We start from the raw sequence: 26,639 nt of genomic DNA on the forward strand, positions 1-26,639 counted from the left end.
CTATCCCTTTGGCTTGGTGGGGCTACCCTGCCCCCACAGCTGTCTGCCTAGCTTTAACTGAGAGGGGGATCCCATCCTATGAAACTGGTGATGAAGCAGCCTTGTCTTCTGAGCCTTTGATGAGAGTGGCAGTTCTGCTGATCTCTGAATTGACTTGTGGGCTATTCTCTCCCTTTCTTGAAGTATCCCTCAAGCACGTTCACAGGCAAATAGCTCTATTGTTCCATTGTATAGAATCTCAGAAGTCTAACAGCCTTTATTCCATCCTGCTTTCTCTGTACTATCTAGTTCAAACTAGCAGTGTATTCACTGGTATAATCCCTGACTTCTGCTGAGGTGACTGATCACATCTGTGAGTCATATCTATTATATTTTATCAAATGGTTATCCAGCCACATGCTTAGTGTTCTCTTCAGAACACACTCCATATTTTATAAGATGGATAGACTGAAAATTTTCTATATGTATGAGTTCTGGTTCATTTTTGCTTAGCAATTCTTTCTATTTATTTCTCTCCTCTCACATTTCGCTATAAGCTGTAAAAAGAAACCAAGTTACTCCTTCAACACTCTGCTTAGAAATATCCTCAGCTAAATATAAAATTTCATTCCTCACAAATTCAACCTTCCAAAAAAACCTAAAACACAATTCAGCCTCTTTTTTTTTCACCAGTTTATAGCAAAGATATCCTTTCCTCAATTTCTCAATAATCAATTAGCCAGGCTTAGTGGCATGCTCCTGTAGTCCTAGCTACTTCCTAGGAGACTGACAGGAAGGTTTCTTGAGCCCAGGAGATGGAGGCTGCAATGAACCATGATCACATCACTGCACTCCAACCTGTGTGACAGAGCAAAACCTTATCTCAAAAAAGAAAAATTTTCCAATAATCTATTCCCCGTTTTCCATGTGAGACTTCACCTAAGATTTCTGGCATTTCTATCAATATTCTGTTCATGATAATATATGTATTCTTTAAGACAATAGAGGCTTTTTCTATAGTTTTCTTCTTTTCTTCATGAGCCCTCTCCAGAACTGGCTTTAACATCCATATTTCTACCAATAGTCCCTATGTGGGAATGTAGGCCTTTTCTAGCATGCACCTCAAAACACTTTGAGCCTCTACTCTTTACCAAGTTTAAAATCACTTCCACAATTTCAGGTAATTGTTACAGCAGCACCCCACTTTACAATTCCTAAATTTATTAGTCAGTTTGTACTGCCAAAACAAAATATAGACTAGGTGGCTTAAAAAACATAAATTTATTTTCTTATGATTCTGGAGAAAAGAAGATTCTGGTCAGTTTGGTTTCTAGGGATAACTCTCCTCCTGGCTTGTAGACAGTTGCTTTCTTGTTGTGCCCTTCCTTGATCTCTTTTTGGAATGCAGAAAGAGAGAGAAGAGAAAAAAAAAGAAGCTCTTCGGTGTTTCTTATGAGATCAGGGTTTTACCCTTATTATTTCATTTAATTTTAATTACTCCCTTAAAGGTTTCATTTCTAAGTATAGCTACACTGGGGATTAGGCATTCAACATATGAAATTTGAAGAGATCCAGACATTCGATCCATAATATTTGGATATCTTCTGCCTTTTGGCTGTTGTGAATACTGCTACTGTGAGCATCGGTGTACAAATATCTATCTATTTTTGTCCCTATTTCATTTCTTTCATTTCTTTTAAATAGCCAAAAGATGAATTGCTTGATAATATCATAGCATTTATTCATTTTTTCCAACAATTAACTACCTACTATGCAACAGGCATTATTCTGTGTCTTGAGAACAAGCAACAAACACAATCATGCCTTGGATTCTTTCTTTCTCGCCACAATTTTCAACCTTAAATCTGTCTAATTCATCACTACTCATCTTTTCAAAATACATCTTAAATAACTGCCTGTATTAGTTTGTTTTCATACTGCTATAAAGAACTACCTGAAACTGAGTTATTTATTTTAAAAAGAGATTAAATTGACTCACAGGTCAACATTGCTGAGGAGGCCTCAGGAAACTTACAATCGTGGTGGAAGGTGAAGGGGTAGCAAGGCATTTTCTTCATAAGGTGGCAGGAAGGAGAAGTGGTGAGCAAAGGAGGAAGAGCCCTTTATAAAATCATCAGATCTGGTGAGAAATCACTCACTATCAATCACAAGAACAGCATGGGGAAACTGCCCCCATTATTTAGTTGCCTCCACCTGGTCTCTCCCTTGATACATGAGGATTATGGGGATTATGGGATTACAATTCAAGATGAAATTTGAGTGGGGATACAAAGCCTAACCATATTATTCCACCCTTGGTCCCTCCCAAATCTCATGTTCCTTTCATATTTCAAAACCAATCATCATATCAAACCTTCCCAACAATCCCCTAAAGACTTAATTCATTCCAGCATTAACCCCAAAGTCCAAGTCCCAACTCATCTGAGACAAGGCAAGTCCCTTCTACCTATGATCCTGTAAAATTAAAAGCAAGTTAGTTGCTTCCTAGATACAATGGGGGAATAGGCATTTAGTAAATACGCCTGTGCTAAATGGGGGAAATTGGCCAAAACAAAGGGGCTAGAGCCCCCAAGCAAGTCTGAAATCAAGTAGGACAATCAAATCTTAAAGCTCCAAAATAATTTTCTTTGTCTCCATGTCACACATGCAGGTCACGCTGATGCCAGAGGTGGCGTCCCATGGCCTTAGGCATCTCCATTCCTGTGGCTTTGCAGGGTACAGCCCACCTCCCAGCTGCTTTCATGGGCTGCCGTTGCAGCTTTTCCAGATTAACAGTGCAAGCTGTCAATGGATCTACCATTCTGGGATCTGGAGGATGGTGGCCTGGCCCTCTTCCCACTGTTCCACTAGGCAGTACCACAGCTGGGACTCTGTATGGGAAATCAGATCCCACATTTCCCTTCCGCATTACCCTAGCAGAAGTTCTTCATGAGGGCTCCATTCCTGCATCAAACTTCTGCCTGGACATCTAGGCATTTCCGGACATCTAGGCATTTCCATACATCCTCTGAAATCTAGGTGGAGGTTGTCCAACCTCAATTCTTGACTTCTCTGCACCTGCAGGTACAACACCAAGTGGAAGCCATCAAGGCTTGGGGCTTGCACTCTCTGAAGCAAGGGCCTAGGCTGCACATTGGCCCCTTTTAGCCATGACTGGGACATAATGCAGTCCTGAGACTTCACAATGCAGCAAGTCTCTGAGCCCAGCTCATGAAACCATTTTTTCCTCCTAGGCCTCCAGACCCATGATGGAAGGGGATGCTGTGAAGACCTCCAACATTCCCTGAAGACACTTTCCCTATTGTCTTGGCAATTAACATTTGGCTCCTCATTACTTATGCAAATTTCTTCAGTCAGCTTGAATTTCTCCTCAGAAAATTTGTTTTTCTTTTCTATTGTATAGTCAGGCTGCAAATTTTCTGAACTTTTAAGCTCTGCTTCCCTTTTAAACATAAGTTCTGATTCCAAACCATATCTTTGTGAATGCATAAAACTGAATTCTTTTAAGAGTACCCAAGTCACTTCTTGAACACTTTGCTGCTTAGAAATTTCTTCCACCAGATACCCTAAATAACCTCTCTCAACTTCAATGTTCCACAGATCTCTAGGGCAGGGGAAAAATGCTACCAATGTCTTTGTTAAAGCATAGCAAGAGTCACCTTTATTCCAGTTCCCAGGAAGTTCCTCATTTTCATCTGAGACCACTTCAGCCTTGACTTTATTGTCCACATAACATCAGCATTTTGGTCAAAGCCATTCAACAAGTCTCTAGGAAGCTCCAAACTTTCCCACAATTTCCTGTCTTCTGAGCCCTCCAACTGTTCCAACTTCTGCCTGTTACCCAGTTCCAAAGTTGCTTCCACATTTTTGGGTATCTTCATAGCAATTTACTGTATTAGTCTGTTTTCATACAGCTATAAAGAACTGTCCAAGACTGGGTAGTTTATTTAAAAAAAAAAGTGGGGGGTTAGTTGACACAATTCAGCATGACTCAGGAGGCATCAGGAAACTTACAAATATGGTGGAAGTCAAAAGGGAAGCAAGGCAACTTCTTCACGTGGCAGCAGGGAGAAAAAGTGCCAAGCAAAGAGGGAAACCACCCCCATAATTCAACTACCTCCATTTTGTCTCTCCCTTGACATGTGAGAATCATGAGGGTTACGGGGATTACAATTCAAGATGAGATTTGGGTGGAACACAAAGCCTAAACATATCACTGCCTTTTAAATTCATCTCTGAGTCCTCTCGACTTGCAAAGTCAAGGTCATCCCCTAAAGCAAGAGTGACCAAATATTTCCATTTCCCCAGTAGAACTACTGAGGTTTAAAATTTCAAAATTTGTAACATTTTTCACTCTCAAAATCATCCCTCTTTGGAAGATAGATTTCACAGTCATATTACCCACAGCCAATTCCTAAAGTGAGACCCTTAAAAAATGTAATACTGTATACTTCTACATGACTATTTTTATTTGCTTAAAAATTTCATGGAATTTTTTTCTCTTAATTAAATGTCATTATTGTTAAAATGTAAAATATAAATAAACAGTAAGTTAGAATCTAAAAATCTATGGAAACGTTCACAGAATGTCATATGCAAGAAAAGGAACAATAACTTTCATATGATTAAGGAAACCAGTTATATCATTTCTCCTTATGTGTCACTTCCTCTGTCTTTTACCTTACTATGATAAGACTTAAGGAGAACGGGTCAGTAAACTGATTTTGGAAGTATCACCTCATTGTTTCATACTATCAGTTATGAAAACAAATGAGAACTTTAGTCCAGTCCAGCAACAAAATAAATTCCAAATGGACTGAGGAATTTAAATAATATATAAAAAATAAAGGAAATACCATTAATGTTATAATTTTGGTGAAAAATATCTCTGTAAACTTAGAATTAATTAAAAAATACTAAAGAATGGATATATATGGTAACATAAAATTAGATAAGAAGGAACAAAATGATGTTTATTTATGATAACAGCAGTTATTGGAGGCTGTTCTGTGCCAAGACATTTTCTCTAAGATACTAGTGAAAATAAGATACCTGGGCTCGTAACATAAATGGGTAACAGACATGGAAATAGTCATATCCTATATCATGGGATGAGAAACAAAGATCTACATGCTTGTGTCTATGTCTACATTTCAGAAATGCTTCCTACTGTTTGTAGCTGCAAAGCACTAAATTGTTAAAAGTCATATTTATCATACAAATTTTATAGCTTACACTCAAACTGCTACTTTTCAAGAAGAAAGAACGTTTCAATTATTTAAAATAAATTAATTCCTCTACCCACCATTTATAAATTAGATTCATGGTTCATACATACTCATCTCTCTACACATAAAGCATCAGGTTTCTACTGATAAAGATTTCCTTATTATAAGTTTCCTCTTACTACTTCAGTAATTTAATAAAATTTTATCCTTGTTTTCACTATTCAATCTGATCTACTATATTTAAGCCATCTTAATATTTTATTTGTCTTATGTGTTTTTTTTCTTCTAATAAGTATTCTTAAATATTCTATAGAAGTAAGAAAGGGCTCATTCACGTAAGGTAAACCTCAGGTAAGGTACAATTTAGATTCTATTTATTACTGAAATAAATTCTTAATTATATGTAATGTACCAATAAATGGTGATCATATGATTTCCTTATTATTAATTATCTTTTTGTTTCCATTGTGCCTTTATCATTTGGAGGCATTGGCTATATTGTCATTGGGGGTAATATAGTTAAGAGAACTTCCTCAGTACATCAAGGCCACATTTGAGCTTTTACTTTATGACTCAGTTTCCCTACTTATTAATGATATTCATCACTTTTTTATAATAAAGACAAGACAATATAGATGACTATGTTGTTATATAGTCATCTCAGATGAATGATGCCATATAAATTCAAATAAGTAACATTCTCATTACTATTTACATTTATTTGCCCATTTCATAAAAGTGACCCATAGCTTTGCACTACATGATATGATTTCTCTTGCTATTCCTCCAACTAATGGATGTAGTTGGTACAATATTATAATGTGTTTGTATATAAAAGATCCTCTTACATATCATCCTTGAGGGAAATGTTTTGGCATTACTGTTTTCCAAACAATTCCCTCTCATGTAATCTGTTTCACATTATAATGCCCTAGATATATTAAATTGTATTTGTACAAGTTAATCTAATTTTCTTCAGTCTGCCCATATTTTCAGATTCCCAGATTCCTTAGCAACAACTCCCAAATGAGATAGCATTGGCAGCATTTTTAAACAATTAATACAAAATTCAAAAACTAAGTAGCATCAAACTAAAAGAATTAACCTAGAATACTTCCAAATGTAATACAGATACATTTATAAATTCATTTAGCTTACTTCCTTTGATATTTATATTCCAATATAACTTTATATATTCAAAGCAATATTGAATATTTATGAATATTAAGTTATCCTCTTTGCACTAGCGAGTGAATCTATTTTATCTTGAAAACTTCTTCATATAAAGACTTAAATAGAAATTTTATATAAAGATTTTCTAATTGCTTTTTGTTTCTTGTAGGTCTTTATTTTAAAGCAACACAAATCCACTTCGATAAAACTTTCAGAAAAAAATAAATTTTATTGAAAGATATTAAAGAGAGTGGGAAAAAAATTCAAGAAAAATATAAACAGACTTCAAAAATGAAGTAAGCCACCATTACATTAGCAATAGGTTATTGTAATCCTTAAATCTGAAGTTTTATTATTAATGTATCTCAGGTTCTAACATCACATTTCTGTCTCTCACTGCAAACTCTCAAAAGAAATAAACTGTTTAGCCCAGCCTGATTACATACCTTTGTCTAATCAAGCATGACCAAGTTGAAAGTGTCATTTGAAAGACAAATATGTGGCCAACAGTTCTCCTATTTGTGTTTTAGTTTTCTAGTGAAAAAGACATGTATATTTAGAATTAGCCAGCTGTATTTGATATAAATGATTCCAATTGTTTTGGCAGTATCCAAAACATTACAATCAAGAGCCAGTCAAACATATGCCTCCTTCTGTCCATTAGGCCCGAACAGGGTGTTGACCTTGGCCACATCAGTGTCATAGAGCTTCTTCACAGCCTCTTTAATCTGTTGCTTTTTGGCCTTAACATCCAAAAGCGTGTTATATTTTATTTTCTTTATGGCTGATTCAGTGGTCAGCAACAACTTGATAATGACATAGTGGTCAAGTTTCTTTCTCTTGGGGGTAATCTTCCAAGGATATTTGAGCTGCCTCTGGAGCTGCAGTATCTTGGGCCACTGGAAGGTGGGTGATGTGCAGATCCTCTTTATTTTTTTGTGGCTGTGGACTCTTTTCAGCACTGCCTTCTTGAGCTTCAAAGCCTTTGCTTTCACTTTGGCTTTAGGAGGCTTCTGGAGCTTCTTTCTTCATCATCTTGTGAAAAGGCTCTATTTTTTTGAATAAGTGTGTGAGACTATCAGTGAAGAGATGATGGCAGCACCACACTACCAGACACCTAAAGCTCTCTTATCCCATCCCAAATGTAAATATGGCAAGCTTGTTATCCCATCACAAGCATACATAAGGTAGGCTTGGATAATGTCATGTAAATATTTTTTTTCAGCAAACATGAGTTGAACATTTTCTCTGTGCCCACAGCTGAACAAACAGCAATGAGTAAGTGCCGATTACCTTTAAATTCTACTGAGATTAACAGAGCATAAATGAGTGCCCTTATCATTAAACAAGATGATTATTGATTACAAGAAGTGCTGTGAAAGATAGAAAATGGAGAGAAACCTGGATTAGAGCCTTAAATTCCCTTTAATGTTGGTAAAAGAGACCTCAGAGGAATCAACATCTATTCTGAAATGTGAATGATGAGATTAAACTAGTTATAGGAAGGAAGAGCCTTTTGGGAAAAAGTTGGAAGGAGAAAGAACACATTGCGTTTGCACACAGAAAAGAGGCACAGCAAGAGCTACAGACCAGCCTGCCAAACATAGTGAGACCCTGTTTCTACAAAAAAAATTTAAGAATTAATTGGGTACAGTGGCACACCTGTAGTTCCAGCTACTTGAAAGGCTGAGGCAGGAGGATTACTTGAGCCCAGGAAGTTAAGGCTGCAGTGAGCCATGATTGCACCATGGCTGCACTCAGCCTGGATGACAGAGACCCTGTTCCAAAAAACGAACAAAACAGAGAGAGATAAAAAAGGAAGGGAAGGGGAGGAAGGAGAGAGAAGGAGGAGAGGGGAGGAGGGGAGGAAAGAAGGAAGGGAAGAAGGAAGGCAGGCAGGCGCTGGCTACAGCAAAATGAAAGACAAAACAGCAGTAGAGTTTGGGAAGGTGAGTAGAAGAAATATGGCCTAAGACTTCTGAGCTTATTAAAAAATAGTTGGGAATCGTTCCAAGACGGCCAAACAGGAAGAGCTCCGGTCTGCAGCCCCCAGTGTGACTGACGCAGAAGATGGGTGATTTCTGTATTTCCAACTGAGGTACCTGGTTCGTCTCACTGGGGCTTGTCGGACAGTGGGTGCAGCCAACCGAGCGTGAGCCGAAGCAGGGCGAGGCATCGCCTCACCCAGGAAGCACAGGGGGCCAGGGCAATTCCGTTTCCTAGCCAAGGGAAGCCGTGACAGATGGTACCTGGGAAATCGGACACTCTGAATTTATTAATTATTTATTAATATTGCACTTTTCCAAAGATCGTAGCAAAAGGCATACCAGGAGATTGTATCCTGCACCTGGCTCGGCAGGTGCCACGCCCATGGAGCCTTGCTCACTGCTAGCACAGCAGTCTGAGATCCAACTGTGAGGTGGCAGCCTGGCTAGGTGAGGGGTATCTGCCATTGCTGAGGCTTGAGTAGGTAAACAAAGCGGCCAGGAAGCTTGAACTGGGTGGAGCCCACTGCAGCTCAATGAGGCCTGCCTGCCTTTGTAGACTCTACCTCTGGGGGCAGGGCACAGCTGAACCAAAGGCAGCAGAAACTTCTGTAGACTTAAACATCCCTGTCTGACAGCTCTGAAGAGAGCAGTGGTTCTCCCAGCACAGAGCTTGAGCTCTGAGAACAGACAGACTGCCTCCTCAAGTGGGTCCCTGATACCTGTGTAGCCTAACTAGGAGACACCTCTCAGTAGGGACCAACTGACACCTCATACAGCCAGGTGCCCCTCTGAGACAAACCATCCAGAGGAAGGATCAGGCAGCAATATTTGCTGTTGTGCAATATTTGCCATTCTGTAACCTCTGCTGGTGATACCTAGGCAAACAGGGTCTGGAGTGGACCTCCAGCAAACTCCAACAGACCTGCAGCTGAGGGTCCTGACTGTTAGAAGGAAAACTAACAAACAGAAAAGAATAGCATCAACATAAACGAAAAGGACATGCACACAAAAACCCCATCTGTAGGTCATCATCATCACAGACCAAAGGTAGATAAAACCACAAAGATAGGAAGAAACCAGAGCAGAAAAGCTGAAAATTCTAAAAACAAGAGCACCTCTTCTCCTCCAAAGGATCGCAGCTCCTAGCCAGCAACAGAACAAAGCTGGATAGAGAATGAATTTGACGAGTTGACAGAAGTAGGCTTCAGAAGGTCAGTAAAAACAATCTTCTCTGAGCTAAAGGAGGATGTTTGAACCCATTGCAAGGAAGCTAAAAACCTTGAAAAAAGATTAGATGAATGGCTAACTAGAATAAACAGCGTAGAGAAGACCTTAAATGACCTGATGGAGCTGAAAACTATGGCATGAGAACTGCATGAAGGATGCACAAGCTTCAGTAGCCAATTCGATCAAGTGGAAGAAAGGATATCAGTGATTGTAGGTAAAGTGAATAAAATGAAGCGAAAAGAGAAGTTTAGAGAAAAATGAGTAAAAAGAAACGAACAAACCATCCAAGAAATATGGGACTATGTGAAAAGACCAAATCTACTTTTGACTGGTGTACCTGAAAGTGACAGGGAGGATGGAACCAAGTTGAAAAACACTCTTCAGGATATTATCCAAGGGAACTTCCCCAACCTAGCAAGGCAGGCCAACATCCAAATTCAGAAAATACAGAGAACACCACAAAGACACTTCTTGAGAAGAGCAACCCCAAGACACATATTGTCAGATTAACCAAGGTTGAAATGAAGGAAAAAAATGTTAAAGGCAGCCAGAGAGAAAGGTCTGGTTACCCACAAAGGATAGCCCATCAGACTAACAGCTGATCTCTTGGAAGAAACTCTACAAGCCAAAAGAGAGTGGGGACCAATATTCAACGTTCTTAAAGAAAAGAATCTTCAACTCAGAATTTCATATCCAGCCAAACTAAGCTTCATAACTGAAGGAGAAATAAAATCCTTTAAAGACAAGAAAATGCTGAGAGATTGTGTCCCCACCAAGCCTGTCTTACAAGAGCTCCTGAAGGAAGCACTAAACATGGAAAGGAATAACCGGTACCAGCCACTGCAAAAACATGCCAAATTGTAAAGACCATCAAGGCTAGGAAGAAACTGCATCAACTAATGGGCAAAATATTGGCTGACATCATAATGATGGATCAAATTCACACATAACAATATTAACCTTAAATGTAAATGGGCTAAATGCCCCAATTAAAAGACACAGACTGGCAAATTGGATAAAGAGTCAAAACCCATCAGTGTGCTGTATTCAGGAGACCCATCTCACGTGCAGAGACACACATAGGCTCAAAATAAAGGGAGGGAGGAAGATCTACCAAGCAAATGGAAAACAAAAAAAGGCAGTGGTTGCAATCCTAGTCTCTGATAAAATAGACTTTAAACCAACAAACATCAAAAGAGACAAAGAAGGCCATTACATAATGGCAAAGGGATCAATTCAACAATAAGAGCTAACTATCCTAAATATATATGCACCCAATACAGGAGCACCCAGATTCATAAAGCAAGTCCTTAGCAACCTTCAGAGACTTAGACTCCCACACAGTCATAATGGGAGACTTTAACACCTCACTGTCAGTATTACACAAATCAACCAGACAGAAGGTTAACCAGGATATCCAGGACTTGAACTCAGCTCTGCACCAAGCAGACCTAATAGACATCTACAGAAATCTCCACCCCAAATCAACAGAATATAATACTTCTCAGCACCACACTGCACCTATTCCAAAACTGACCACATAGTTGGAAGCAAATGTAAAAGAACAGAACTCCTCAGCAAATGTAAAAGAACAGAAATTATAACAAACTGTCTCTAAGAACACAGTGCAATCAAATTAGAACCCAGGATTAAGAAATTCACTCAAAAGTGCACGACTACATGGAAACTGAAAAATCTGCTCCTGAATGCCTACTGGGTAAATATTGAAATGAAGGCTGAAATAAAGATGTTCTTTGAAACCAATGAGAACAAAGACACAACATACCAGAATCTCTGGGACACATTCAAAGCAGTGTGTAGAGGAAAATTTGTAGCACTAAATGCCCACAAGAGAAAGCAGGAAAGATCTAAAATCGACACCCTAACAATTGAAAGAACCAGATAAGCAAGAGTAAACACATTAAAAAGCTAGCAGAAGGTAAGAAATAACTAAGATCAGAGCAGAACTGGAGGAGATAGAGACAAAAAAAAAACCTTTCAAAAAATCAATGAATCCAGGAGTTGGTTTTTCGAAAAGATCAACAAAAAAGATAGACTGTTAGCAAGACTAATAAAGAAGAAAAGAGAGAAGAATCAAATAGATGCAATAAAAAATGATAAAGGGGCTATCTCCGCCGATCCCACAGATACACAAACTACTGTCAGAGAATACTATAAACACCTCTATGCAAATAAGCTAAAAAAATCTAGAAGAAATGGATAAATTCCTGGACACATACACCCTCCCAAGACTAAACCAGTAAGAAGTTGAATCCCTGAATACACTAATAACAGGCTATGAAATTGAGGCAATAATTAATAGCCTGCCAACAAAAAAACCTCCAGGACCAGACGGATTCACAGTTGAATTCTACCAGAGGTACAAAGAGGAGCTGGTACCATTCCTTCTGAAACTATTCCAATCAATAGAAAAAGAAGGAATCCTCCCTAATTCATTTTATGAGGCCAGCATCATCCTGATACCAAAGCCTGGCAGAGACACAACAACAAAAGAGAATTTTAGACCAATATCCCCGATGAACATCTATGCAAAAATCCTCAATAAAATACTGGCAAACCGAATCCAGCAGCACATCAAAAAGCTTATCCCCCATGATCAAGTTGGTTTCATCCCTGGGATGGAAGGCTGGTTCAACATACGAAAATCAATAAAGGTAATCCATCACATAAACAGATCCAAAGACGAAACCCATATGATTATCTCAATAGATGCAGAAAAGGCCTTCAACAAAATTCAACAGCACTTCATGCTAAAAACTCTCAATAAACTAGGTATTTGATGGGACATATGTCAAAATAATAGCTATTTATGACAAACCCACAGCCAATATCATACTGAGTGGGCAAAACTTGGAAGCATACCCTTTGAAAACTGGCATAAGACAGGGATGCCCTCTTTCACCACTCCTGTTCAACATAGTGTTGCAAGTTCTGGTCAGGGCAATCAGGCAAAAGAAAGAAAGGGTATTCAATTAGGAAAAGAGGAAATCAAATTGTCCCTGTTTGCAGATGACAGGATTGTATATTTTCAAAACCCCATCATCTCAACCCCAAATCTTAAGCTGATAAGCATCTTCAACAAAGTCTCAGGATACAAAATCAATGTGCAAAAATCACAAGTATTCCTATACACCAATAATGGACAGAGAGCCAAATCATGAGTGAACTCCCATTCACAATTGCTTCAAAGAGAATAAAACACCTATGAATGTAACTTACAAGGGATGTGAAGGACCTCTTCAAGAAGTACAAACCACTTCTCAACGAAATAAAAGAGGACACAAACAAATAGAAGAACATTCCATGCTCACGGATAGGAAGAATCAATACCATGAAAATGACCATACTGCCCAAAGTAATTTATAGATTCAATGCCATCCCCATCAAGCTACCAATGAGTTTCTTCATAGAATTGGAAAAAACTACTGTAAAATTCATATAGAACCATAAAAGAGCCTGCACTGCCAAGACAATCCTAAGCAAAAAGCTGGCAGCATCATGCTACCTGACTTCAAGCTATACTACAAGACTACAGTATCCAAAACAGCACGGTGCTGGTACCAAAACAGAGATATAGACCAATGGAACAGAACAGAGGACCAGAAATACCACCACACATCTACAACCATCTGATCTTTGACAAACCTGACAAAAACAAGAAATGAGGAAAGGATTCCCTATTTAATAAATGGTTCTGGGAAAACTGGCTAGTCATATGTAGAAAGCTGAAACTGGATCCCTTCCTTACACCTTATACAAAAATTAATTCAAGATGGATTAAAGACTTAAATGTCAGACCTAAAACCATAAAAACCCTAGAAGAAAACCTAGGCAATACCAGTCAGGACATAGGCAAGGGCAAGTACTTCATGACTAAAACACCAAAAGCAATAGCAACAGAAGCCAAAATAGACAAATGGGATCTAATTAAACTAAAGAGCTTCTGCACAGCAAAAGAAGCTATCATCAGAGTGAACAGGCAACCTACAGAATGGGAGAAAATTTCTGCAATCTACCCGCCTGACAAAGGGCTAATATCCAGAATCTACAAAGAACTCAAACAAATTTACAAGAAAAAAATCAAACAACCCCATCAACAAGTGGGTGAAGGATGTGAACAGACACTTCTCAAAAGAAGACATTTATGCAGCCAACAGACACATGAAAAAATGCTCATCATCACTGGTCATCAAAGAAATGCAAATCAAACCACAATGAGATACCATCTCACACCAGTTTGAATAGCAATCATTAAAATGTCAGGAAACAACAGGTGCTGGAGAGGATGTGGAGAAATACGAACACTTTTACACTGTTGGTGGGAGTGTAAACTAGTTCAACCATTGTGGAAGACAGTGTGGTGACTCCTCAAGGATTTGGAACTAGAAATACCATTTGACCCAGTGATCCCATTACTGGGTATATATCCAAATGATTATAAATCATGCTACTATAAAGACACATGCACATGTATATTTATTGCAGCACTATTCACAATAGCAAAGACTTGAAACCAACCCAAATGTCCATCAATGGTAGATTGGATAAAGAAAATGTGGCACATATACACCATGGAATACTATGCAGCCATAAAAAAGGATGAGTTCATGTCCTTTGTAGGGATGTGGATGAAGCTGGAAATCATCATTCTGAGCAAACTATTGCAAGGACAGAAAACCAAACACCACATGTTCTCACTCATAGGTAGGAATTGAACAATGAGGACACTTGGACAGAGGGTGGCGAACATCACCCACCGGGGCCTGTGGTGGGGTGGGGGAGGGGGGAGGAATAGCATTAGGAGAAATACCTAATGTAAATGACGAGTTAATGGGTACAGCACACCAACATGGCACATGTATACATATGTAACAAACCTGCACGTTGTGCACATCACATGTACCCTAGAACTTAAAGTATAATAAATAAATAAAAAAGAAAGGCAGAAATAGAGGACTCTCCCTAGAAAGGCAGAGAGGACTCTCATTTTTCTCACGAAGTTCTGCAGAAATATTTACTCTTTCAATTATGTGCAATTGTAACTTTGAATACAATTTAAAAAAAGCTTCAGTGAACATGCAAAAAAAATAGTCATAAATTTAATGAAGTAGGTATCCAGGCAAGAGCTTGAAGCATGTTTGGTTGAGAATGGGAGGATAGATTTTAACAGCACATACATCAGTGTAGAGAATGGATTGTTGGCACAAAAGAATTGGAATAAAGCATATGCTTCTATTGCCATTATCTGGATGGATGAGACATAATAATGGTTTTATCTGGGGAAGTGACCATGAAGATCAAGAAAAACAAAAAAAAATGCAAAATGTATTTATCTATATTGGAATCTATATTGGATTATAACTGAAAAATGGTGAAAAGAGAAAAAAATCAAGATTGACTCCCAGATTTTTGGTGAATTGTACCCTTTGCTGAGATGAGGAAGATTTCCAATTCAAACGATCATGTCCAAAGGGTATATTTTTTCTTCAGAAAGGTCTCTACCCACTGTTTAAAGGAGGAGACCACTGATTTAAAGGAGAGTTCCCTGTTTTCAAGTATTGGCTCAACTTCCTCATTGCTGATTATGTTCTCAGAAAAGTTAACCTTTGTGTTCCAAAGATAAAAACTGCAGTTCATAAAAGCTGCAGTTCATGAAAATGTATTGCCCTTTCAATCTGAGTAAGAAAAGTGACAAATGTCATTTTCCAAATAGATTATCCAAGTTCTGGAATTAAATTGTTAGTCCCTTTTTTTCTGGTTTATCAGTATTTGGGAGTGTGTTCATTTCTGACCAATTACTATAGCTAGAAAGATTATCTACAGTGAACGGCTTTAGCTTTTGTCGGGTCTAAAGCAATGAATTCAGTCAGCAAATATTACCAAATGCCTGCTATATGATAATAGAAATACATCAATGAGAAAACAAAAAGGACTACATTCTATTAAATTATCTGACTGTAAAACTTTGAAATTTGGGATGCTACGTAAAAAAGAGAAAAGAGAATGGATGTTAAAGACATTCCGCAAATGTTTTCTACACTCTCTTCTAATGACTCTATATATTTTATACTGTAATAAACCATCATAAAGAAAAAAAAATCTACCTGTATTATCCAACACATTTTAAAGAAATTTCTCCATGAGAAGAAAAAGTAGAATAAAGTCTATGTCTTTTGAGGAGGGCATTTCCTCCAGAATTTTATACATATTTTAATGCTCTAATTCTATCTGAAATATTAATCAGCAGTGTTTAATTCAGCAAACTTTAATATTTACATGTATTAGTTTTAGTATATGGGTTTTCTGATTTATAATCATTTTTGACTATCCATTTCTACAAATTGATTTGCATGTCTACTTTTTACTCTGTACGTCATTTAGTATTTTATTTGTTTCTCAATAATCCTTTTTTGTGGTTAGCCCTTTTCTAATAATTATTTTTCTTTTCTTAACAAGCAATTATTAAGCATACCACCAGAAGCACCCTCCAAAAAACATAAGTAAGCAAAAAGGAAAATCAAGAGATTTTTTCCTTTTTCATATAATTTGTTGTCTTTTCCACTTATCAGCAACCCTTCTCACAAGAGCCAAAAAAATTTCATGTATTTATTTTTATTTTTGTTTTTTATACATTGTGGAATATATCAAGTGAGTTACCATTTGCCACTTCACATGCTTGTCATTTTTTGTTTGAGGAGAACATTTACTATCTACTGTTAAAAATCTTCAAGTCTACACAATACATTAACTGTATTTACTATGCTGAACAATATATTTTCTGAGTTATTCTCTCTGTCTAACTGAAATAGACTTTTTTAAAAACATATGGTTTTGTGAAGTTGTGGAGCAACGCCTTCATATATTTCTTGTGTGGTGATGATGGTAGTGGTGGTGTATGAGGGTGTGAGTAAAATAAAAACATTTCAGACGATATTTTAGAATAAAGTTAACCACATGCTTACACCATTCTACTCCTAGGAATATACTGTGGAGAAAATCTTGCACATAACATGTCTCATGTCAAACAATGAAGAAAATAATTTTCTTAGAAATAACTTAGAATTGTAAGGAATACAAGTGTTCTTCAAGCTTAGAACGGGTAAATAAATGGTGTTGTATTAATGCAGCAGAATAGCATAAAGTGAAGGACTAAATAAACTACATTTGCATGTAATGTAATTGAACCTCGAAACGTAACATTAAGGGAAAGGAGCAAACCACATAAAAATTTACACAGTATTATACCATTAAGTGGCATTCATAGCGATGAAAAAACATTACATTTAGAATATATGCATTGAAAATATAATAAAGGTGAAGTTTTTTTTGTTTGTTTGTTTGTTTGTTTTCATAAAAGGTTGCATACTTCCTGCTCATCTACTCTTTCCAGACTTCCTTCCATGGAGCTCCTCTTTTGCCTCCTAGCAGCGGGACTGACAGCCGGTGTAAGTAATAAATCTTTCTTTGACTATTTCAAAGGATAACCATCCTGAATTTTGACATTCAAACTTAACTTTTGAAGAAACATTTTCCACACCATAGTGGTGTTGTTATAATTATATATATACATACATTTATACCCTTCTCTATAATTAAATAAGCTTCAAAATAGTTCATGAAAGAAAAGAAGTAATCAGTAAATTATTACAAAATGCTTAGAAGTGAAACATATGTTCGCCATTTATTTTATTTCAAATGTAAAATGTGGCTAAAGAGAATGTAGAGGTGAATAAATAACTTTTATTAAGGTTAATTTTTAATGATATTCAGCTTATAGAGTCATTATTTGCTGTAACAATTTCTGTCAAAAGTTTGCTCTTAATAACTTTCTTATAATATAAGACCAGGACCAGTTTTTGGTGCCACAAGTGATACTGTGTATACAAATTTCCCAAGTTGGGAACATTAAGATCCAAAAGTTATACTCTTCCATTACTCTTGATTATTCTTTTCTGCCTTCACACAGTAGAATAAATGAATAGTTCATCCTTCTCCATTTAATGTGTTTAACCTTCTGTATTTTATATGGGAACAAAAAATAAAGGCAAAAAGATGAAATTGTAATGATTACTAGACACTGGGTGACCTCCAGTGAATATGTAAATTGGAGTCAGTACTCCTGATGGTATTACTGATGCTGCTTCACTGTCATTTCTTGTGCTATACTTTGACTGGCATATAGTAATGCCAAAGTCATGATAGCTGTGTGGAGCAAAAGATGTTAATATTTCTTTTTGCTGGATGGGTGTTTATCCCATTTTAATATGCATTTGTAAATTTTCATTTTATTTTTATTACCTCTGAGTAATTAAAGCTCGAAGAAATTAAGCCTAAGGTTATCTAAAGACAAGTGCTAAATCCAACATCCTTACCATAAAATCAATGTGCATTTCACTGCAACATACTTATCTTCTTTATAAAACCCCACAGCAGCAATAGAAAAAAATATTCCCAAAAAGGCAAAACTATTCTACCTTACTTAGGTGATTTGACTTTAATACTTTCAGTACTTTATAGAACAAATCAAATGTTGATATTAATATCTTCACATAATACAGAAATAAGCTTGACAGTGCGTGTAAATAAGTTCTTGCTCTAAGAGATTTAAGAAACCTAAAAGTCGATCATTTTCAAATGTCCAAATTCTTTGAAAGATATTTAGAATACCTCAACAGTTATAAAGTTGGAAACAATTATAGTTTTATAAATAAAATCTCTCCTCATGCTTCAGTTAGTTTTAGTAACTATAATTCATAATAAATGCAATACAGCGTGGTATTCTAATAATGTAGATTCATGCTCTCTTGCCTAAGAACATTAAAAGGCCATGAGGCAGTCAGAGGGGCATTTATTAAAACTGACCATAAGATTAGAAATGTATATATGTTTTTATATATATATACATTTATATGCATTACAATACTGCAGTTAGAAGATATAGCTACCCAAAATGTTTTCTCTATAACTATGAAAGAAAAGTGTAATACAGTTGACCCTTGAACAAGTGTTTGAAATGTGGGGTCCACTTATATGTAGAATTTTGTAGTAAAAGTTACACTGAGTGTGTCTGCTTCTCCTGCCTCCCCTTATGTCATCTTTACCCCTGCCACCAATGAACAGCAAGACCAATCCCTTCTTTTTCTCCTCCTCCTCAGCTTACAAAATGTGAGCACCACAAGGATAAAGACATTTATAATGCTCCACTTCTATTTAATGAATAGTAAATATATTTTCTCCTCCTTATCATTTGCTTAATAACTCTTTTCTCTAGCTTACTTTATTGTAAGAATATAGTATATAATACACAGATATGGTTTGGCTGTGCACCTGCCCAAAGCTCAACTTGAATTGTATCTCCCAGAATTCCCATGTGTTGTGAGAGGGACCCACTGGGAGGTAACTGAATCATGGGGACCAGTCTTTCCCGTGCTATTCTCGTGATAGTGAATAAGTCTCACAAGATCTGATGGGTTTATCAGGGATTTCCGGTTTTGCTTCCTTCTCATTCTCCCTTGCCATCACCATGTAAGAAGTGCTTTCACCCTCTACCATGATTGTGAGACCTTCCTCAGCCACATGGAACTGTAAGTCCAATTAAACCTCTTTTGTAAATTGCCCAGTCTTGGGTATGTCTTTATCAGCAGCATGAAAACAGATTAACACAGTAAATTGGTACCAGTAGAGTTCGCATTGCTGAAAAGATACCTGAAAATGTGGAAGTGACCTTGGAACTGGGTACCAGGCAGAGGCTGGAACAGTTTGGAGGGTTTAGAAGAAGACAGAAAAATGTGGAAAGTTTAGAACTTCCTAGAGACTTGTTGAATGGTTTTGCCCAAAATGCTGATAGCAATATGGACAATAAAGTCCAGTCTGAGGCAGTCTCAGATGGAAATGAGGAACTTGTTGGTAACTGGAGCAAAGGTGAATCTTGTTATGTTTTAGCAAAGAGACTGTCAGCATCTTGCCCCTGCCCTTGAATTTTCTGGAACTTTGAACTTGAGAGAGATGATTTCAGGTATCTTGTGGAAGAAATTTCTAAGCAGCAAAGCAATCAAGAGTTGACTTGGGTGTTGTTAAAGGCATTCAATTTTATAAGGGAAGCAGAGAATAACAGTTTGGAAAATTTGCAGCCTGACAATGCAATAGAAAAGAAAATCCCATTTTCTGAGGAGAAATTTAAGCTGGCTGCAGAAATTTTCATAAGAAAGAGGAGCTGTATGTTAATCCCCAAGACAATGGGGAAAACGTCTCCAGGGCATGTCAAAGGTCTTCAAGGCAGCCCTACTCATCACAGGCCTGGAGATGTAGGAGGGAAAAAATGGTTTTGTGGGCCAGGCCCAGGATCCTGTGCTGTGTGCAGCCTAGGGACTCAGTAGCCTGCATCCCAGCTGCTCCAGCCGTGACTACAAGGGGCCAAGGTACAGCTCAGGCCATGGCTTGAGAGGGTGCAAGTCCCAAGCTTTGGCAGCTCCCACATGGTATTGATCACACGGGTACACAGAAGTCAAGAATTGAGGTTTGGCAACCTCCGCCTAGATTTCAGAAGATATATGGAAACACCGGGATGACCAGGCAAAAGTTTGCTGCAGGGGCAGGGCCCTTATGGAGAACCTCTACTAGAGCAGTGCCAAAGGGAAATGTAGGGTCAGAGACCCCACACACAGTTCCTACTGGAGTACTGCCTAGTGGAGCTGTGAGAAGAGGGCCATCGTCCTCCAGACTCCGGAATGGTAGATCCACAGACAGCTTGCCCTGTGTGCCTGAAAAAGGTGCAGACACTCAACACCAGCCCAGGACAACAGCCAGGAGGGAGGCTGTACCCTGCAAAGCCATAAACGTGGAGCTGCCCAAGACCATGGGAACCCACCTTTTGCATCAGCATGACCTGGATGTGAGACATGGAGTCAAAGGAGATCATTCCGGAGCTTTAAGATTTGACTGCCCCACTGAATTTTGGACTTGCATGGGGCCCTGGCCCATTTGTTTTGGCTAATTTCTCCCATTTAGAACAGCTGTATTTATCCAACGCCTCTACTCCCATTGTATCTAGGAAGTAAATACCTTGCTTTTCATTTTACAGTCTCATAGGCAGAAGGGACTTTGGACTGCGGACTTTTGAGTTAATGCTAAAGTAAGTTAAAACTTTGGAAGACAGTTGGGAAGGCATGATTGGTTTTGAAATGTGATGACATGAGATTTGGGAGGGGCCAGGGATGAAATTATATGGTTTGGCTGTGCCCCCACCCAAATCTCAAAATGAATTGTACTTCCCAGAATTCCCAATTGCTGTGGGAGGGACCCTATGGGTTAGAATTAAATCATGGAGGCTGGTCTTTCCCGTGCTATTCTCTTGATAGTGAATAAGCCTCATGAGATATGATGAGTTTATCAGGGGTTTCTGCTTTTGCTTCCTCCTCATTCTCTCTTGCTGCTGCCATGTAAGAAGTGCCTTTTGCCCTATGCCATGATTGTGAGACCTTCCCTAGCCACGTGGAAGAGTAAGTCCAATTAAACCTCTTTCTTTTGTAAATTGCCCAGTCTCAGGTATGTCTTTATCAGCAGTGTGAAAACGGACTAATACATGCATACATACAACATACAAAATACTGTATTAATTATGTTATCAGTAACGTTTCCAGTCAACAGTAGACTTTTAGTAATTATATTTTGGGGGAGTCAAAATTATACTTAGATTTTCAACTCTTCCAGGGTTGGTTCTCCTAACTCCCTCCTTGTACAAGGGCCAATTCTACTTGAGCCACATTGTTAATACATGAAATAAAGAATGATCCCAGTTAAAAGTAATAATAATAACTGAGTTCAAGTCTTAGTTGACTCAGATGTATACTACTTCCTTTATCTTTCTGAATCCCAGGTTCCTTAATAATAAATTAATTTTACCTGCCTTACCTATTGCATAATGCTCCAATAAAAATCAAATAGACTGTATGCCCTTATGATTTGTTAGGTAAAAACACCATATACATATGTTATAACTATGATCTACTGTGTTCTCTAAAATAATACCTTCGAACTTGTAATAGATGTAAAAGTGATCAATATTTGAAATCAACAAATATACACTTCAAAATAGTTCACTGAAGAAAACAAGAAATAATCAGAGAAATTATGACATGCTTTGAACTGAAAGATATGGAAGTAATTTACTTCAATCTTGTGAAATATAGCTAAGCAGTATTTAGAGGCAAATACACAGCTTGTAAAAAGAAGTTTCAGTACTAGAAAAACTGAAAATTACTAAGACACAATTCAAATCAACAAAATAAAAAAAATGAAATAATAAAGTAATCAAATAATGAATTGTAAAACAAAGGAAAAATCAAGTAGGACAATATGGAAAATTACATTCACAGAGTAATACTTTATTACACAGACAATTATAAATTTGAGAAGGAAAGATTTCTTTTGCAAGCATGGTTTAAAGGAAGTAATCATGGAAGAAACTATGATAGGCCAGAAACAAAAAGAAAGCATAATTCCTGTATTCAAATAACAAGCATTTATTGGACACCTAATATGTGCCAGGCAATATTCTAGGCACTTATTTAAAATAGTTTAAAAAAAGATAAATGTCTTAGAGATTTTATTCTATCAGGGAAGGTTGTGAAACAAAATTTTAAAGTAAATAAGTAGTATATTAAAATGTGATGAGTTTTATAAGAAGAAAGTTAGATAGTAAAGGGCAATAAAATTTGCTGGGGAACTGAGAGTGTAATTTTCAACATGACAGTGAGGAAAGTCTCATCTTTCTGAAATAAATCTTACTCTGAAAAACACAGAAACACTTATTTCTCTATCAAAATTCAGACTTATATATCTAATTGCCTATTCGACATTTCCACTTGGGATTTTAGTTTATTTTCCAAGTTTAAAATGTACAAATCTACTCTGAATTGATGACGTCAAGACCTACACCACCTTTCTGCCAAAACTGGTTCATGTGCAGTCTTCGTCATCATTCAGGGCAATTCCTCATCACTCACGCCAATGCAGACTTTCAGTTACTTGCAATGAGAAATAATGAATAAATACATAAGGAAATAAATAAAATCCTGCAGAAATTCTTGTTTTCATCTTTTTCTAACAAAGGACACCCGATTTGTCAAAAATAATTCTGTCAGAAACAAAGTCAGAGATATCAAAACACATGTATGAACGTTTAAAGGATCAACAGATGTATATGAGAATATGTATATTCACATGAACAAATATATGGAAATACATAAATATAATTATTTAATGATTTAAAAGACATATGTCTATATGTATATATCATATACATAATTATCTCTGAATACACACACTACACATATGCTATGTATATTTGTGTATTTTTGATGTAAGTGAAAATAGAGATTTGAACTGTTTAAATAACAAGCTTTTGTAAACTTGTGTGAACAGATATCTATAGGATGCTGCAACCAGCTCTGAAAATTCATTCTTTTTTAGCATATATACAGTGCTTGTAAAAATCACAATGAAGCACATCTCAATATCTTCCAAATAACAAACAAGAAAAACAACATAAAATGACATGTATTTAAATTTTTTAAACTATTATTTTAAGTTCAGGGAACCAAGTGCAGGTTTGTTATGTAGGTAAACTTGTGTCATGGACGTTTGCTGTACAGTTTATTTTATCAGCCAAGTATTAAGCCTACTACCCATTAGTTGTTCTCCTGATTCTCTCACTCCTCCCACCCTCCACCCTTTAAAAGGACCCATTGTGTGCTGTTCCCCTCTATGTGTCCATGTGTTCTTATTATTTAGCCCCCACTTATAAGTGAGAACATGTGATGTTTGGTTTTCTGTTCCTGTGTTAGTTTGCTAAAGATAATGGCCTCCAACTCCAAAAATTTAAATCAAATATTTAAATAGTGTTAAGTTGAAAAAACATGATGTCAATAGAATAGACAGCTGAATGATAGTTACTGTACTACAAGTCACTTATGCAATGCAACTGCAATACAGGAAATGTATGATTTTAAATGCTTATATTTTTAAAAAGAAACTCTAAGTCTTAAATTAGATATACCCCCAAATCTTAAGGAGTTAGCAGAAAAATAGAATAAATTCACAGATACTACAAAGAATTTAAGTAAAAAACAAAAGTTCATTAACCATAACATACACATTTGACAGAAAAGAATTAAATTTGATTCTTTAAAAAATTGCTAAAAATGACAAATCTTGAACCTGACCATAATGATACTAAACAGGCAAATTTCACACTCACAAATGTAAATGTCAATATCCTAAGCAAAACACCAGCAAAATATACTCAGAAATAATTAAGTAAATAATTCCTTATTGAAAATTATTTTAGGTATAAATATTTACTTTAGGGTTAGAGATGTTTATTGTTCAAAATTAGAAAACAAATGTTGTTCAGCTTACTACCAGATTAAAAAACAAAATCATAGTTGTCAAACACCCTGATATGATAAAATTTAAATCACTAATTATAAAAGCTTTCAACCAGCTATAATAAAAGTTTCCATTCTAATTTCATAAATGGCATCTGCTATAAGTCTCCAGCAAACATTTTCTGCTTCTAACATTAAACATCTTGTTTTAGGATGGAAAACTTGACAAGGGTACACCAAATAACAGGTTCTCTTTAAAATTAAAGTGAAGCTTCTACCCAGCCCAAGAAAGCAAGAAGTAGAAATATACTACTTTAAAGATTGAAATAGAACATCGACTTCAGGCCATGATGGAATAACAAAAAACAAACTTACCTTTCCACTCTAGAAATGAGAAGCCAGACCAAATACATGAAACAGTGTTTTCCAAACATTGGACAAAACAGTGTGAGAAAGTGATTCCTGAAAGAAAGAAAATAGGTACAGTGAGCCCTAGGGGAGTTCTTGCTTACTGTCTGAAAAGAATTTCCAGCACTAGCATGGAGAAAGGGAATCCAAGAGAAAATCAGGTGTTTCTATAAAAATTATAGAAAGGAAGATGTCCATCCCCACAAGTGCTATTCTATATTTAAATATAGGCCTTAGCAAATAGAATTTATAAAAATGAAAGATTTGGAAAAAAGAAACAAAACAATTAATAATAATAATAATAAATTTAAAAATATAAATTATAATAAAATAGAGAAAAACACAACAAAACATTATTCCTTCAAGCTAGCTGTGACCCATGGGAAATAATGATTTTAAATCAAACTGTCCCATTCATCATAAGTAGCTAGCAGTAACTCTAAGACAATATATGCAAGGCTTTAAAATAAAATTTAAACTTTATTGAAGGATGTTAAAGAAAAACCCAAATAAATGCAAATTAATGAATATAAAGACTAAATATTACGAGTCAATTGATTCTTAATGAATACTCAACCAATCAGTTCCAATAAGAATATCAAGATAATACTTAGAATTAAAAAGAGGAACATTTATAAGAAGGAAAATATTCATGGAAAGTAAAAATAATTTTTTAGTTAAAAAGAGATAATTGAAAATAATATTTAAAATCCATAATAACTAAAGTAGTATGGTATTTGCAGTGGAATTCAAAAATAAATGTAGATGGAAGGGACAATATTAGGGTTTTTCAAACCAGACTTATGCACATATGGGATTTGATACATAATATAATGAGCATTTCAAATGAGAAGAATAACATGTAAATTAATTTTATAACTATTCTTGGACAATTTAGTTGGAAAAAAATCAGAACAAAATAGATAATTCCTTCTCACTGTACACAACACCCACACATATTCACATACCTGATACACAAATTATTCAGGTTAGATTAATAATTATATGTAAAAAAAACCGTCAAAAATTTAGAAGAAAATATTTTCATGACATTATGAGAGAAAAATATTTTAAAATCACAGAAATTCAGAAACCTTTAAAAATGGATTGATACATATGACAGACATTTAAAATATCTCAACTTTGATATGGCTAAGAAAACTATAACCGAAGTGTAAAAATAGTTATTTTTATTTTATGAATGACTATATATATGTACATATGTCACAATGGATTAACATTTGAGTTGTAGCTGAAAACAAAAAGAAAAAATAAGTTGTTCAAAACATATGCACAGATAATTCACGGAAAAGAAAATCTGATTGGCAACAAACATAAGAACGTTTGCTCAACCACATTACCAAAGAGCAAAATGCAAGTTAAAACAATGCCATTTTATTTCAAACCTATCTGATTGGCATCATTAAAAGTTGAGGGAAGAATCAAAAGTATGGGCAATGCTGAATGAACTCTCAAACTGAAATACGGTTTCACAATATCTGAAATAGCTCATGATGCGTTTCACGTGATATAGCCATGCCACTTCTAAATATGCATTTTAGGAAAAAAAGCTTAAATATGGGCTGGGCGCGGTGGCTCATGCCTGTAATCCCAGTACTTCGGGAGGCTGAGGAGGGTGGATCACCTGAGGTCGTGAGTTCAAGACCAGCCTGGCCAACATGGAGAAACCCTGTCTCTACTAAAAAATACAAAATTAACCAGGTGTGGTGGTGCATGCCTGTAATCCCAGTTACTCGGGAGGCTGAGGCAGGAGAATCACTTGAACCTGGGAGGTGTAGGTTGCAGTGAGCCGAGATCGCACCACTGTGCTCCAGCCTGGGCAAAAGGAGCGAAACTACGTCTCAAAAAAAAAAAAAAAAAAAAAAAAAAAGCTTAAATATGTGCATAATGACACATGCAAAATGATGTTCATTTGATCATTATTTTCAGTAATACGGATGGGGTATTTTAAGTCTTAATTATTAGACATGAAGATTAAAAAATAGGGTATACATCATATTTTGATTCAGCAATTTAATGAACATAGTCTACATGTATTAACATGTAAATATATTGATGTGTGTGTGTATATATATAGTGTGTATATATATACATATATATATATAAAATGTTAAATGAAAAGCAACTTGCAGGAAATGTGAATTATGAGAGCACTGATTAATATTTCAAAATATATTGTATATGTG

At 36.3% G+C, this 26,639-nt stretch overlaps 1 long non-coding RNA gene and 1 pseudogene across 1 annotated transcript in view; both read right to left on the reverse strand.

Annotated features, from left to right (window-relative positions):
* The window catches only part of LOC105369878 (uncharacterized), a 145,625-nt gene extending 121,084 nt beyond the window's left edge, over positions 1-24,541 (reverse strand). The window contains exon 1 of the long non-coding RNA XR_001749241.1: positions 24,400-24,541. This is a non-coding gene — a long non-coding RNA (uncharacterized LOC105369878). The remainder of the gene's footprint in view (positions 1-24,399) is intronic.
* RPL23AP68 (ribosomal protein L23a pseudogene 68) lies at positions 7,037-17,834 on the reverse strand (annotated as a pseudogene).
* Positions 24,542-26,639: the final 2,098 nt, after the last annotated feature.

The sequence above is a fragment of the Homo sapiens genome, chromosome 12 (genome assembly GCF_000001405.40).
Source record: "Homo sapiens chromosome 12, GRCh38.p14 Primary Assembly".
Classification (NCBI taxonomy): Eukaryota; Metazoa; Chordata; class Mammalia; order Primates; family Hominidae; genus Homo; species Homo sapiens.